The sequence below is a fragment of the Homo sapiens genome, chromosome 19 (assembly GCF_000001405.40).
Source record: "Homo sapiens chromosome 19, GRCh38.p14 Primary Assembly".
Classification (NCBI taxonomy): domain Eukaryota; kingdom Metazoa; phylum Chordata; class Mammalia; order Primates; family Hominidae; genus Homo; species Homo sapiens.
Window position 1 is genome coordinate 45,544,649 of NC_000019.10, and position 16,036 is coordinate 45,560,684.

At 51.3% G+C, this 16,036-nt stretch overlaps 1 protein-coding gene across 3 annotated transcripts in view, besides 3 other annotated features; it reads right to left on the bottom strand.

The window, feature by feature from the left end:
* The window catches only part of OPA3 (outer mitochondrial membrane lipid metabolism regulator OPA3), a 57,376-nt gene that overhangs the window by 17,222 nt on the left and 24,118 nt on the right, over window positions 1-16,036 (bottom strand). The window contains exons 2-3 of one of the 3 annotated variants that reach the window (XM_006723403.5): window positions 9,862-10,001; window positions 1,633-9,263 (exon numbers count right to left, since the gene is read on the bottom strand). The exons of 1 other annotated variant lie outside the window; for it this stretch is intronic. In XM_006723403.5, coding sequence (XP_006723466.1) covers window positions 8,866-9,246 — 381 coding nt within the window. In that variant the 5' untranslated portion in view covers window positions 9,247-9,263; window positions 9,862-10,001 and the 3' untranslated portion in view covers window positions 1,633-8,865. Of the gene's footprint in view, window positions 1-1,632; window positions 9,264-9,861; window positions 10,002-16,036 lie in introns of those variants that run through there. One more of the 3 variants, NM_025136.4, reaches the window with a different exon arrangement.
* Window positions 8,373-9,003: an enhancer, noted in NCBI's record as "H3K27ac-H3K4me1 hESC enhancer chr19:46056279-46056909 (GRCh37/hg19 assembly coordinates)". NCBI's record gives its function as "activates a minimal SCP1, AML or CMV promoter by ChIP-STARR-seq in naive H9 embryonic stem cells {active_cell/tissue: H9 hESC(naive)}" and the evidence as "EXISTENCE:reporter gene assay evidence [ECO:0000049][PMID:30033119]".
* Window positions 9,004-9,633: an enhancer, noted in NCBI's record as "H3K27ac-H3K4me1 hESC enhancer chr19:46056910-46057539 (GRCh37/hg19 assembly coordinates)". NCBI's record gives its function as "activates a minimal SCP1, AML or CMV promoter by ChIP-STARR-seq in naive H9 embryonic stem cells {active_cell/tissue: H9 hESC(naive)}" and the evidence as "EXISTENCE:reporter gene assay evidence [ECO:0000049][PMID:30033119]".
* Window positions 13,381-13,881: an enhancer, noted in NCBI's record as "H3K4me1 hESC enhancer chr19:46061287-46061787 (GRCh37/hg19 assembly coordinates)". NCBI's record gives its function as "activates a minimal SCP1, AML or CMV promoter by ChIP-STARR-seq in primed H9 embryonic stem cells {active_cell/tissue: H9 hESC(primed)}" and the evidence as "EXISTENCE:reporter gene assay evidence [ECO:0000049][PMID:30033119]".

Here is a 16,036-nt window from a genome sequence, read left to right on the forward strand (position 1 = left end):
CCGGGCGTGGTGGCACACACCTGTGATCCCAGCTACTCAGGAGGCTGAGGCAGGAGAATCACTTGAACCCGGGAGGTGGAGGTTGCAGTGAGCCGAGATCATGCCATTGCACTCCAGCCTGGGCAACAAGAGCAAAACTCCGTCTCAAAATAAATAAATAAATAAATAAATAAATAAATAGGAAATTAACCGGGCATGGTGGCCCATGCCTGTAATCCCAGCTACTTGGGAGGCTGAGGCAGGAGAATCGCTTGAAGCCAGGAGGCGGAGGTTGTGGTGAGCCGAGATCGTGTCATTGCACTCCAGCCTGGGCAACAAGAGGAAAATTCCGTCTCAAAAAAACAAAAACAAAAACAAAAAACAAAAATTAGCCAGGCATGGTGGCAGGTGCCTGGAATCCCAGCTACTCAGGAGGCTGAGGCAGGAGAATCACTTGAACCCGGGAGGCAGAGGTTGTAGGGAGCCGAAATGGCGCCACTGCACTCCAGCCTGGGCGACAGAGCAAGACACCGTCTCAAAAAAAAAAAAAACAAAAAAACAAAAAATAGGAAATCAAGACAAGGCAGGATAGGCCTCTACTTCAAAACAGAGAAAAAAGGGGCTGGATGTGGTGGCTCACACCTGTAATCCTAGCACTTTGGGAGCTGAGGCGAGTGGATGGCATGAGCCCAGGAGTTCCTGACCAGCCTGGGCAACATAAAGAGACCCCCATCTCTACAAAAAATTAAGAAATTAGCTGAGTGTAGTGGTGGCACACCTCTATTCCCAGCTACTCTGGAGGCTGACATGGGAGGATTGCTTGAGCCTGGGAGGCTGAGGCTGCAGTGAGCCGTGATTGCACCACCGCACTCCAGCCTGGGTGACAGAGCAAGACCCTGTCCAAAATGAAACAAACAAATGGAAAAAACAACAACAACAACCAGAGGCTGAGCACAGTGGCTCACACCTGTAATCCCAGCTTAAAAATCTCTTCCCAGAGTAAAAGTTAGTCTTCATGCTGGCCCAAGGCAGCCCACATTATACAGGTTTGTATAATACATACATCATATGTACATGCTTTTCTTTTTTTTTTTTTTTTTTTTGAGATGGAGTCTCACTCTGTTGCCCAGGCTGGAGTGCAGTGGTGTGATCTTGGCTCACTGCAACCTCCGTCTCCTGGGTTCAAGTAATTCTTCTGCCTCAGCCTCCCAAGTAGCTGGGACTACTGGTGTGTGCCACCACGCCCAGCTAATTTTTTGTATTTTTAGTAGAGACAGGGTTTCACCATGTTGCCCAGGCTGGTCTTGAACTCCTGAGATTAAGCAATCCTCCCACCTCGGCCTCCCTAAATGCTGGGATTACAGGTGTGACAGGCCATGCTTTTCTTTAAGAAATAAAATAACGGAGAATAAAAAGTAACGAAGTTGCCCATCACACATAAGAACAATTATTATTCAGAGAAACTTGTTCTAACAAGACATATAATACATAATGTATGATATTAACATATCATCCAATGTGTTATGGAACACACTTAATGGGTTTCATATGTTTATAATATATATTAAGTATATAGAATGCATATATATCTGTAGTTATTCTTCATGAAATGGAATACAATAAAATAGGAAATATTAAACCGGGCTGCAAATATTAAGGGTAATTATTTAATGAAACTTTCATTCCAATGATATGTACATAAGCACATACACTACATATAATAGATGATGTTATGTTACACATGACATAAAATATATATTTTATATTCCATTATATATTGTGTCACATAATATATGAATTATACACTTTTAAAATACATAGAATTGTAAATTATTGTATAAATATGCACACGATGGATTACATAAACTCTGCTTTTTTTTTTTTTTGAGACAGGGTCTCACTTTGTCTCCCAGGTTGAGGTGCTGTGGCCTGATCTCAGTTCACTGCAGCCTTAAACACCCGGGTTCAAGCGATCCTCCTGCCTCAGCCCCCCAAGTAGCTGGGACTACAGGTGTGTGCCACCATGCCTGGCTAATTTTTTGTTTTGTTTTGTTTTGAGACCAAGTCTCACTCTGGCACCTAGGCTGGAATGCAGTAGTGCAATCTTGGCTCACTGCAACGTCCACCTCCTGGGCTCAAGCAATTCTCCTATGTCAGCCTCTCATGTAGCTGGGATTACAGATGTGCACCACCACACCCGGCTAATTTTTGTATTCTTTTTATTAGAGACGGGGCTTCACCATGTTGGGCAGGCTGGTCTCGAACTCCTGACTTCAAGTGATCCTCCCACCTTGGTCTTCCAAAGTACTGAGATTACAGGCGTGAGCCACCGCGCCTGGCCTAAAACTCTGCTTCTTATTGTGGCACGTGGCTGTAGATTGAGGTGGAGGTTCTGAGATCTGCGCGCAGTGGGGGTTACTGCTGAGCACTGGGGTCATTTCCTATGGGGAAGGAGGGAGGGAGGGAGGACTCCACAGAGGGGGAAGCTGAAGCCAGATGTGGTGGAAGCAGAGGCCTGAGTGATCCTGTTGGGGCTCCAGAGCTGGGATGACCTCCACAGTTGTGCCAATCAAGGCAAGGGGCAGCCTTTGCTTGCCTGGCCCCCTCACCTAACTTCTCCCCTCGCTTACTCTATTCCAGGGGATGGTAAACTTTTTCTGTAAAGGGCCAGAGAGTACGAGAGCCCTAGGATCTCTGTGCAAATACTCAGCTCTGTCACTGTACTGCAAAAGCAACTGTGGAAAATATGCAAACGAATGAGCGCCTGGGTTCCAATAAGTCTTTATTTACAAAGACAGGAAGCAAGGGTCCCCTTGATTTGGCCCAAAGGCCTTGGTCAGCGAGCCTCTGCTCTATTCTGACAGCCAGAAACTCTTGCTGTTCCAGGAACAGGCCAAGGCCACATCTGTCCTAGGACTTTCACAGATACTCACAGCCCTCTTCCTATCTCCCTCCATCTGAAGCGCTGCCTCCTCCCTGCCCACCTGTCTAGATCAGCGGTGCCCGTAAGTCCGGAACTCCTACCCTGCCTCCATTCCTCTCAGTCCTCATCACCCTATGCTGGATTAGCTTTTTCCTTTTTTTTTTGAGATGGAGTCTCGTTCTTGTTGCCCAGGCTGGAGTGCAATGGTGCAATATTGGCTCACCGCAACCTCCGCCTCCCGGGTTCAAGCGATTCTCCTGCCACAGCCTCCTGAGTGGCTGGGATTACAGGCATGCACCACCATGCCCTGCTAATTTTGTATTTTTAGTAGAGATGGGGTTTCTCCATGTCGGTCAGGCTGGTCTCGAACTCCCGACCTCAGGGGATTGGCCCGCCTCGGCCTCCCAAAGTGCTGAGATTACAGGTGTGAGCCACCACGCCTGGCCACTCTTTCCTTCTTTATTGCCGGTCTCTGGCACTAGAATGTCAGCTCCAGTGAGGGCCTCTGCTTGCTCCCAACTGGCTCCCAGCTACTAGAATGGAGCCTGGTGCAGTTGATCCTCAGTACACTCAGAGTTGCCATGCTTCTCCTCTCTCTGTCCACACCGACTCCAGCTACAAGCCATTGCCACTGGGGGACCCAAGCCTGCCACTCAGCAACACAGCGACCAGCCCAGGAGTAGCTCCGTGAGCCAATAGATCAGGTTGGGGCTTATGTAAAGCCCATTTTCTCCTGGGGTGGCTCTCAGCCATTTTGCCTCCCTCCAGGCAATGGCCTGCCCTACAGAGAAACCAACAAGAGGGACAGCAGGGCCTGCCAGGAGATGGGAGGGGCACAGCCCTCAGGGCACCTCCCAGGGTTTTGTGAGCTGGGATGAATGGGTTTATAGTCCTGAGTCACTCCAGAGGGAGGATTCCGGATTCAGCCCAGCCCCTGCTTCCTAAACAACTATGGGGTGGGGCAGGGAACACTGGAAAAGAAATGTACGTGTGAGCATCTGTAAGACCCGGTGACGGCAGGGCTGGGGCTGTCTCTGTCACCACTGTGACCCCAGCATAGGGTGGGGCAGAGAGTGGGTAACTCAGTGAGTTTTGTGTTTTATTTTTTTTATTTTTTTTTTTTTTGCGGGAGACGCCCTACCAAGGACACTGGGTCCATGTCCCGGTGCGGGACCACCTCAGTGAGTTTTTTGAGTGAAAGAATAAATAAAGGATATTTTTCCTAAGGTTGACATGGACCTTATTTATTTATTTATTTATTTATTTATTTAGAGATGAAGTCTCGCTCTGTCACCCAGGCTGGAGTATAATGGCATGATCTCGGCTCACTGCAACCTCCGCCTCCCGGGTCCAAGAGATTCTCCTGCCTCAGCCTCCCGAGTAGGTGGGATTACAGGTGCACAACCACCATGCCCAGCTAATTTTTGTATTTTTAGTAGAGACGAGGTTTCACCATGTTGATCAGGTTGGTCTTGAACTCCTGACCTCAGGTGATCCACCCACCCTGGCCTCCCAAAGTGCTAGGATTACAGGTGTGAGCCACTGCGCCCAGTCCCAAGGACTTTTTAAATATGAAAAAAGAATGCATCAACTTGAAGATAATCAGCTTCATTTACAAATTTATTCTAACCCCTCTCCCCAAATTACAAGGTACACAGAATTCTAGCTAGCAGAACACACGAGCAGTGAACCATCCTCTGGCCTCTTGCATTTTGAGAGGACGTTCTTTCCACTTCCACACACTCTGGCCACCCCTGACGCCGCAGTGGGGGAAGTAGATGGCCCTGCTGCCCACGATGACTGGCTGCCTGTCAGGGCAGGGCAGGGCAGGGCTGAGTGCGAAGTCTCTGAGATGTGAGAGCAGCACTCCATCTGGGTCAGGACAGCGCTGGGGTCAGGAATTGGAGCTCCTGCCTGTGTTCACACTCCCACCTCTGTTTTTTTTTTTTGAGTTGAGTCTCACTCTGTCACCCAGGCTGGAGTGCAGTGGCGCGATCTCAGCTCACTGCAACCTCCACCTCCTGGGTTCAAGCAATTCTCGTGCCTCAGCCTCCCGAGTAGCTGGGATTCAGGAATGTGCCAACATGCCCGGCTAATTTTTGTATTTTTAGTAGAGACGGGGTTTTGCCATGTTGGCCAGGCTGGTCTCGATCTCCTAACATCATGTGATCAGTCCACCTTGGCCTCTCAAAGTGCTGGGATGACAGGCGTGAGCTGGCCTGGGTCACTCCCAGTTTTAAACACAGCCCACTCAGGACCCACTCGGTCAGTTCCCTCTGCTCCAGCTTCTCCCCCTCTTCCAGAAGGAACTGAAATGCTGTTTCAGGCCAGGCGCGGTGGCTCACGCCTGTAATCCCAGCACTTTGGGAGGCCGAGGCGGGCGGATTACCTGAGGTCAGGAGTTCAAGATCAGCCTGGGCAACTTGGAGAAACCCCGTCTCCACTAAAATACAAAAATTAGCCAGGCGTGGGTGGTGGGCACATGTAATCCCAGCTACTTCGGAAGCTGAGGCAGGATCATTGGTTGAGCCTGGGAGGTAGAAGTTGCAGTGAGCCGAGATTGCACCACTGCACTCCGTCAGGGTGACGGAGCTAGACTGTCTCCGAAAGAAAAGAAAAGAAAAAAGAAGAGAAAAGAAGAAAAGAAAAGTTTCAGAACCTGTTTCTTGGCTTTCTATCTGGGCAGATCTTGGTCCAGGCCAGTTTTACCTCTTTAGAGAAGGGAGGTGAGGATGGAAGTCGGGGAAAGCCCGGCCCTCCCACTTTCACCTGCAGCTTCCCAAAAGCGGGCCCAGGTGGAATGGTCACCCAGTTTACACAATGCTATGATCTCTGGTGTGATCTGGGGCTGCTCTGAGAGGGGATAGAGAGGGTCTCCCACTATCAACGCCACCTCTGGGATGGTCTGGGCCTCTGTGTAGAGATCGTCACCCTCCCAGCCTCTGCTCAGCCATCGCCTCTCCCTCCTCACTCTGCAGCTGGGGTAATCCAAGCCTCTCACTCTGCCCCTACTACTTCACCACCCTGGGCAGTCAGCCCCTCACTGGCTGTGGCATCTCTGGCAAGTCCCTTTGCTTACCCCTGGCCTTAGTTTCCCCAGCTCATAGGGTGACTCTTGGGCCTCTCCCCATCAGAACCCTCCCAGTTTCCCTCCTGATTTTAATAAGCTCTGTACCCATTGTGGAGATCCACATGGTGGTTCAGGTACAGCCTCAGGATGCCTTCATCACCTTGCAGCTCCTCTAATGAGAGAGCTACAGTCGGAAGGACAGACTGCAGGCTACTGGGACCCACCCCCTCCCGCTTCAGTGGCAGATCCTGGAAGAGAAACCCAGTAGAAAAGGGTGGTTCCTAGACTGTTCCTCTCAGCTAGCAGGAAGGCCAAATGGCCCGCGGGGTTGGCAGGAGTCCCAGGGTACTTTTTTTCTGAGAAAGGGTCTCACTCTGTCATCCAGGCTGGAGTGTAGTGGCGCGATCACGGCTCGCTGCAGCCTCGACCTCCAGGGCTCAGGTGATCCTCCTGCCTCAGCCTCCCAAGTAGCTGGGACTACAGGCATGCATCACCGCACCTGGCTAATTTTTTATTTTACTTTTGTAGAGATGGGGTCTCACTATGTTGCCCAGGCTGGTCTTCAGCTCCTGGGCTCAAAGAGATCCCTCCTGCCCTGGTCTCCCAAAGTGCTGGGATTACAGGTGTGAGCCACTGCACCTGGACGCCAGCGTACTCTTGGGGTGAGGAGGAATAGTGGGCTGAATGGCTTGAATGGTGTGCCCCCAACAGACAAGTCCACATACTAACCCCCAGGACCTGTGCTTATGACAGTTTATTTGGAAAAAGTGTTTTTTCAGATGTAATTAAGGGTCTTGAGGTGGGATCATCCTGAACTTAAGATGGGCCCTAAATGCAATGACAGGTGTTCTTGTAAGAGACAAAATAGAAGAGGGAAAAGGCCATGTGAAGCTGCAGGCAGAGCCAAGGAAGGCCTGGAATCACCAGGAGCTGGAAGAGGGAGCGTGTCCCTGTCAGCACCTTGGTTTCAGACTTCTGGACTCCAGAACTGTGTGAATTAAATTCCTGTTGGACTTAAGCCATCAAGTTCACCACCCAATGGTGATCTGTTATGGCAGTCCAAGGAAATTAATCAAGCAGTTAAGGCCAACTGCTGGCCTAATTGGTAGGATGGGGGTGGGACCGGGGGCTATGGAGGCAGGAGGGTACTGCTACATGAAGACAGGCTGTCGGGTCAGTCCAGAGCTCCGAGGAAAGAAAGCAAGAGCACACAGATTAGGAGACACGGATGGAAGATGAAGGATGTGACAATTGAATCCATGGGCTTGGATTCGACTGGGTCCCTGAGAAATGCTACTGAGCAAGGTGGGGAAGGCAAGAAAGGACATGCCACACAGTACAAGCTCCAGGGACTCTGAGGACAGGAAAATAGGGGGCTGAGGCTGAAGGACAGGCTGGATTAGCCCTAGTTAGGATCAAATTTCCCACCACGGAAAGGGGGGTTGGAGGACATTCACAGAAAAGATCCTGTAGTGCCATTCCAGTGGGTTGTGCCATAGACTCAAGGATGAGGGGGTTCTGTTGGAATAGTCCACTTCGGGTCTCAAGGGAAGGTACAATGATTCCAGGGATTGACTGCAGGCCAGGACCTTTTGTGGGTTTTTTTAAGATGGAGTTTTGCTCGTTACCCAGGCTGGCATGCAATTGCGCAATCTCGGCTCACTGCAACCTCTGCCTCCCGGGTTCAAGCAATTCTCCTGTCTCAGCCTCCCAAGTAGCTGGGATTACAGGTGCATGCCACCATGCCCAGCTAATTTATGTATTTTTAGTAGAGACGGGGTTTCATCATATTGGTCAGGCTGGTCTCGAGCTCCCGATCTCCCGACCTCCCGACTTCAAATGACCCGCCCACCTCGACCTTCCAAAGTGCTGGGATTGCAGGTGTGAGCCACCGTGCCCAGCCAGGATTTTTTTTTTTTTTTTGAGACACAGTCTTGCTCTGTCACCCGGGCTGGAATACAGTGGTACAATCTTGGCCTCCACCTCCCAAGTTCAAGCAATTCTCCTGCCTCAGCCTCCCAAGTAGCTAGGATTACAGGCACCCACCACCACGCCCGGTTAACTTTTGGTTTTAAGACGGTGTCTTGCTCTGTTGCCCAGGCTAGGGTGCAATGGTGCCATCTTGGCTCACCGCAACCTCCACCTCATGGGTTCAAGCAATTCTCCTGCCTCAGCCTCCCGAGTAGCTGGGATTACAAGCGCACCCCACCACACCCGGCTAATTTTTGTATTTTTAGTAGAGACGGAGTTTCACCATGTTGGCCAGGCTGGTCTGGAACTCCTGACCTCAAGTGATCCGCCCGCCTCGGCCTCCCAAGGTGCTAGGATTACAGGCGTGAGCCACCGCTCCCAGCCGCACCGTTTTTTTCCTCCTTAAGAGAGCACTGATGCTCAGCTAGAGCTGACCTTAGAAGGTGAGGGGGAGAAAAGGCCACTGCAACACACTGCATTTCCTTACAGTGGTCTGTGCCGATTGACAAAAAGAAGAAGGTGTTCCAGTGTAACAGATGAGTGTCCCAGTAAAGGTTAACACTGATCAGGTAAACCGGGGGTGGGGGTAACAATAACACATTGATTCAGCTCAAGACCAGGTTCCATTTTTTCATTTGCCAGAGTGCCCACGGTGTCCTGCTGGCTGGGACCTTGCAGGTCGTCCTGGTTTGGAGTGGGGGATAGGAGGTGAAGGATGATGGAGGGGGCTATGTTGCAACGCTTCACCTGCTGGTCCCAGTGGCAGGTAACGGCTGCTCTTATCAGCAGGGGTAACCAAATGCCAAGTTGCATCAAGATCCTGGTGGTTTCCACTGGGCCAGCGCAGGCAAGGGTGGTGCGGGAAGAAGGCCACGTTAGGTACATAGGCCATGTCCAAATTCAGGTTCCATCCAGCAAGCTCCTATTTCTTGGACGCAGGCACTGCGTGGGAAGCGGACCGGCCGGGATTGCAGAGCTGGGCGCGCACCTCTTGCAGCTCTGTGCGCAGTTCCTCCAGGGCGCCCTGTGGCGGCGCCGCCTGCACCTGCGCCTGCAGCGCTTCCAGCGCCAGCGCCAGGTGGCCCACCTCGTCCCGCAGCGCGTTCCAGGCAGCACGCTGCTCCTCCTCCTTGTGGCGCTGCTGCGCCTGGTGGCGCCAGTACTCCAGCACTAGGCAGCCGCCGCCCACGATGAAGATGGTGGCTTCGCCCAGCAGCTCTGCGCCCAGCTCAGCTGCCGCCTCCTCGTTCAGCGGCTTGATGACCGTGCCCCGGAAGCCCATGATGCGCATCTTGGTCCGCATCTCCACCCAGTGATACACTGCGGGGGAAGAGAGGGGTCAGGCTGCGCTCTGGGAGCCCCCTGCAAGCCCCACCCCTCTCACCCAGGGAATGCAGTCACCTAGCCTGGGTAACCCAGGGGTCTTTTAAAAGACCAGATGATTCTAGCGAGCAGCCAGGAATAAGAAACACTGCCCCAGAAGGGAGGTCCTCGGACTTGAGGGGCCGCGCCCCAAGAGGGACACCAGGAGCTTCCACAGCGCCAAGTTCATGGACGGTGTAAAGGTCCAGTTGCCAGATGCTTAGTTCCCTGTGTTCCTCCCTTAAGCCACTGCCATCCTGGCTGTCCTGCCCTGGCACTGTCGCCCCACCCACTTCCCAGGAGAAAGACCAACCTCCTTTCTTGCCTTATTTTCCCAAAATGCAAAGTTGGGGCTACAGATGGGGGAGAGGGGGGCTCCTGGCTCCAAAGGGCAGCTTAAGGTGGCAGTCGATGCTAAGTGCCTCTGAACACTTAGATACACTTGTAATAATCAATCATTTTTGCAAGTCTGATGGCTCCAATCCTAGAATTTCATCAGCCCTGAAGGTGCAGCTAAGAGCTGCGAGCTCTTCACAGTGAGGTTTTGGGCACATACCTTGGTGGGAGCTCAAGAGGTGAGTGGTGCTGCTGGAACAAAAACTCCTTCCTTGCCTAGCTGCTTCTTTATGAAGGAAGGTTCTCAGCACTTGAGTCTTTAAAACCAATGCAGAATTGATGCTGCATCCTGACTCACTCCTGCAACAATTAATATTCATCCAAGGGCACATGAAACCACAGAGGGAACCCTTGTGTGGTGCCTTTGCAGACTCATTTGCAACATCTCCTTTTACTTTTAAGGTTTAGTAATTATTCATGAAAATGTATAAAAGATGAACTTTTTGTTGTTGTTGTTTTAGAGACGGAGTCTCACTCTGTTGCCAGGCTGGAGTGCAGTGGCACAGTCTTGGCTCACTGCAACCTCCTCCTCCCAGGTTCAAGCAATTCCCCTGCCTCAGTCTCCTGAGTAGCTGGGACTACAGGCACGCGCCACCATGCCCGTCTAATTTTTCGTATTTTTAGTAGAGAAGGGGTTTCACCACGTTGGCCAGGCTGGTCTCGATCATCTGACCTCGTGATCCACCTGCGTTGGCCTCTCAAACTGCTGGGATTACAGCCATGAGCCACCATGTCCATCCAAAAGATGAACATTTTAAAGTAACTGCGCACTAATAATTTCAAAATTAACTCAATCCAGAAGAAAATAACTTAGCATTTAGAACCTTATGGTCACAGGAAATTAACATGTAAATTTCTGTATGTATTTTGGTTGCCGACATATAAATCACTAGATGGAATTCTGTGGGTATGTGGACTGTAAATACAAAAGTACATGAACAAAAAGAAACCATGTGAAATTTCTGACTGAAAAAGAAGAGCTTGTTTTTATTTGTATTATTTTCGAGACGGGGTCTTGCTTTGTCGCCCCGGCTGGAGTGTAGTGGCGCAATCATGGCTCACTGCAGCCTCGACCTTCCAGGCTCAAATGATCCTCCCACCTCAGTCCCTTGAGTAACTGGGACTACAGGTATGCCTGGCTAATATTTTTTTTTTTTTTGAGATGGAGTCACACTCTGTCGCCCAGGCTGGAGTGCAGTGGCGCGATCTCGGCTCACTGCAAGCTCCGCCACCCGGGTTCACACCATTGTCCTGCCTCAGCCTCCTGAGTAGCTGGGACTACAGGCGCCCGCTACCACGCCCAGCTAATTTTTTTATATTTTTAGTAGAGATGGGGTTTCACCGTGTTAGCCAGGATGGTCTCGATCTCCTGACCTCGTGATCCACCCACCTCGGCCTCCCAAAGTGTTGGGATTACAGGCGTGAGCCACCGTGCCTAGTCATTTTTGTATTTTTTTTAAAATAGAGATGGGGTTTATCAGTATGTTGCCTAGGCTGGTCTTGAACTCCTGGGCTCAAGTGATCTGGCTGCCTCGGCCTCCCAAAGTGCTGGGATTGCAATCGTGAGCCACTATGCCTGGCCTATATATATATATCTTTAAACCAGACATTGGTAGGCATCAAATCATTATTGTATGCGAACTGCAATAAATATGAAGGGAAGGATGCACCAGCTGTTTGAACATGTCAGTATCATAACACACCAGAACCAGAAATTCCATCCTTCACAACTACTTAAGGTTAATGAAGAAAAGTTTTACTTGTCAACTTGAAAATGCACTAGAGGGCACACAATTTATTTTTTCTTTTTCTGAGACAGGATCTCGTTCTGTTGCCCAGGCTGGAGTGCTGTGGAACAATCTCAGCTCACTGCAACCTCTGCCTCCCAGGCTCGAGTCATCTTCCCACCTCAGCCTCCTGAGTAGCTAGGACAACAGGTGCATGCCACCATGCCTGGCTAATTTTATTTTTTTTGGGTAGAGATGGGGTCTTGCCATATTCCATCTTATTTATTTATTTATTTAACAGATGGGCTCTCACTCTGTGGTCCAGGATGGAAGGCAGCGGCTCCATCACAGTTCACTGCAACCTCGAACACCTAGACTCAAGCAATTCTCCTGCCTCAGCCTCTGGAGCCGCTAGAACTATAGATGCCCCACCATGCCTGGCTGTTTTTAAATTGTTTTTTGGTAGAGACTGGGTCTTGCTATGTTGCCAAAGCAGGTCTTGAACTCCTGGGCTCAAGCAATCATCCTGCCTCAGCCTCCCAAAGTACTGGGACGACAGGAGACAGCCACTGAGCCCAGCCACTACACATTTTTCATCTTCAAAGGGGTGGGGTGGCAGGAAGGCTTGGGGAGCTCTGCTGGAGCTGGAGGGAAGACCTGAGGTGCAAGCTTAGGGCCCGAGAAGTCACTGTCACTGTCACTGTCAGCTGCTGCAGTTACTGTTACAGCTGTGACTTAGGCCCTGGGCTTGTGGGTTCCTGGGGTCCAGGCTGTGGAGACCCCTCCCACACTGAGGTCTTAGGGTCAGGCTGATCTGGGGTCCCCCCGGGGCTCCGCCACCTGCTGCCTGAGCAATGACAGCCTGCCCCAAGGCCCCTCTGTAACACAGGAAGGACAGCATCATCCTGACAATGACACTCGCCAGACCTGGTGGTGGCCCAGAGCTGGGCCCGTAACTGTCACTGCCTCCTTCATGTCAGGGACACCTAGCACAGTGGCCAGAGAGTGGTGAGGGGTGAGGGTTCCAGATCCTCTAGCCTTCCTGGGTGAGGTTCCCAGCGTGGAAATGCAAGTGTCTCAGTGCAGACCAAGCATGGGGATCTGGGCCAGCAGGTGGGTCTAGGTGTGCCAATGGGAGTGGGCACATACCCAGGCCACAGGAAATCAAATCAAGAGGGTGTGTGTGTGTGTGCACGCGTGTGTGCACGCAGGCATGGGCTTTCAGGGCTTTCAGAGCAGGGGCCGACGGCATTCTCCCTCGGGCCAGCGGTCAGATGTGGGGTTCAGGAAACAAGGCCCAGGTGGGGATGAATCACAGGGCTGTGATTCTAGAAGGGACAGCTGTGAGGGGCCGGGACAGGCTAAGCTGGAGGACTCACCAGACTTGCGGGGGTCAACACGCTCCAGATGTCTCCTAGACCTCTCACACTCAGCACATCCAAACCTGAACCCAGCACCTGGCCCCACACCTGTCCCCTGGCTAGAGACGGGGGCCTCAGCCCAGCTGTTCCCCTTCTCCCACAGCCTCTCAGCTGCGTGTCGGGTCCATTCTGCATCTTGAACATCTCTCCCAGTGGATTCCCTTCTGCTGTCCTGGTCCAGGATCCATCCCAGCTCTGACCAACGTTCTCCTCCCTGACCTCCTGAATAGGAGGAATACAGCCTGTCTATCCCCTTCTGAGTGCCTATCACAACCAGGAATAGTGGCTATCCAGTTACCTGTCTGCAATCAGTCTCCCCACTGTCCTGTAAGCCTCACAAGGGTGGGGCCCAGGGCTGTCACAGTCACTGCTGTGTCCCCAGCACTGCCCAGTGCCAGGCCAGGCACACGCATGATGCTCATTAGATCTAAGCTTAACACATAAGTGAGTCCCGCCTCCAGCCTCCTTCCCACCTGCCGGCCCCAGCCTCACCCCTCTGCAATTGTCCCCCACGCAGCAATCAGAAGGAATTGGTGAGAAGAAAAGAACAAACTGGCTGGGCGCGGTAGCTCAGGCCTTTAATCCCAGCGCTTTGGGAGGCTGAGACAGGCAGATCATGAGGTAAGGAGTTCAAGACCAGCCTGGCCAACATGGTGAAACCCATCTCCAGTAAAAATACAAAAAATTAGCGGGGCGTGGTGGGAGGCCCCTGTAATCCCACCTACTCGGGAGGCTGAGACAGGAGAATCGCTTGAACCCAGGAGGTGGAGGTTGCCGTGAGCCAAGACCACGCCACTGCACTCCAGCCTGGGCAACAAGAGCAAGACTGTCTCAAAAAAAGAAAAGAAAAGAACAAACCTACCATTCCCCGTCGCCCCACCCCCAACTCCTGCCGCAAATAAAAGTAACACATGGCAAGAAAACAAAGTACTCAAACTATAAAATGTAAAGCCAAAGTCCCCTCCTCAGAGGAACCCTCAACTACTGCGGTCGCCAGCCTGTTTTCCCCTAGCGCCATCTCCTGGACAGCCCATAGTAAGCATACCTCACTCATTTCTGAGCTCTTCAACTGGAGGTTTGTTCAGATCTACGCCATCGTTACCTACTCATAATCCAGCCCCACTATGAAAGGTGAGCACTCTGCCCCCATGCGGCCTGCCCTTTCTCCGCTCCCCCATTTCTACAGGGGATTTGTATGCAGTTTTTATTATTCTATGTTCTGCTGTTTTTTTTTTTTATTTTTTTTAGACGGAGTCTCGCTTTGTCCCCAAGGCTGGAGTGCAGTGGCATGATCTCCGCTCTGCAATGCAGTGGCCATGGAAACACTCTCCAGTGTGGTGTGACTAAGGCAGAGAGGAGACCCTCTGAGTGCTGCTTCATGAGACTTTGGTGCTTTTTTTTTTGATACAGAGTCTTGCTCTTGTTGCCCAGGCTGGAGTGCAGTGGCTTGATCTTGGCTCACTGCAACCTCTGCCTCCCGGGTTCGAGTGATTCTCCTGCCTGAGCCTCCCAAGTAGCTGGGATTACAGGCGCCCACCACCATGTCCGACTAATTTTTGTATTTTTAGTAGAGACGGGATTTCACCATGTTGGCCAGGCTGGTCTCAAACTCCTGACCTCAAGTGATCCATTCACCTTGGCCTCCCAAAGTACTGGGACTACAGGTGTGAGCCACCGTGTCTGGCCTAACTCCAACTTCATGAGAGATCTTAACCTATAATTTTCCTTTTCTGTAATGACTTTATCAGGCTTTGATATCAGTATTCTATTGGACTCATAAAATGAGTAAGTCAGTATTCCTACTTTCTCTATTACTTAAAAGAATATGGACAATGGTCTTTCTTTCTTTCTTTTCTTTTCTTTCTTTCTCTTCTCTCTCTTCTTTCCCTCTTTTTCTTTCTTTTTTTTTTTTTTTTTTTTTTGAGATGGAGTCTCGCCATGCTGTCCCAGGTGGACTGTAGTGGCACAATCTCGGCTCACTGCAACCTCCGCTTCCCGGGTTCAAGTGATTCTCTCACCTCAGCCTCCCATGTAGCTGGGACTACAGGCACATACCACCACACCTGGCTAATTTTTGTATATTTTGGTAGAGACAGGGTTTCACCATGTTGACCAGGCTGGTCTCGAACTCCTGACCTCACGTGATCCACCCGCCTCAGCCTCCCAAAGTGCTGGGATTACAGGTGTGAGCCACCGCACCTGGCCCCCTCCATTTCTCTCTTCCTGTCTTTTCCCAATTCTTCTTTTAGATCTCAGCTGGACTGTCCCTTCCTCCAGGAAGCCCTCCCTGAACCATAGGCTGGGTCAGACACATTCTCAAGGTTCTCAAAGCTCCCTGGGCTTAACACGAGGCCGGCCTTAATAAATGGCAGCAAGACCTTTGGAGTCGCACAGACCTGGACTCAAATCCTGGTTCTGTCACTTTCTGGATTCGCAAGCTGAGCCTTGGTGTTTCCTTATCAAAACTGGGGGTCAAAATACTCAACTGACAGGATTGGGAGAATGGCAATGACAGAGTAAGGGAGAAAATGCTCAGTTTGTAAATGTTAACCTAATATCCTCTTCCTGACTTCTGTCAGGAATTTTATTCCTGGAAGTACATCCTACCCACTGGTGTGAATCTACTCTTGGGTTACATAGAATCGTTTTCCGTCTCCTCCCTGAACTCTCTCCCTCCAGACTCACTCCCTTTCATCTGTCTTCCATACCGGAGAATCCCAACTCAGATGTCCCCTCCTCCAGGAAGCCTTCCCTGACCTCCAGACCCCTGGGATCCTCTATCTGAGCTCTGACTGCTCTGGGTCCTCACTGCATGGTGACAAGTCTGTCTCTCCAACTGGACTGTGAGGCCGATGCAGGCAGGACCTGAGGCTAACTCGGTCACTGCACTGTCCCCAGCCCCAGATAGGCACAGAGCAGGCACTTAATGAAAAAGCTGATCTGTGGAGGTGCCCAGGAGGTGACCATGGACAATGGGTATGGCTCCTGTCTCTGGCTCCCCCATCTCCCTTCTCTCTCTCCTGATGCTTTTGGTGTTATCTGTCCCCTCGAGAATGTGGCACTGTGCATTGCCCCTCCTCCTGGATTTCCTGGATTGGCTCCAGGCCCCCTCTACACATCTGTCTCTGATATAGACCCTTTCCTCGGCCTCAGTGGCTGTCATTTCTCAGGGCACCATTTCCTAAGC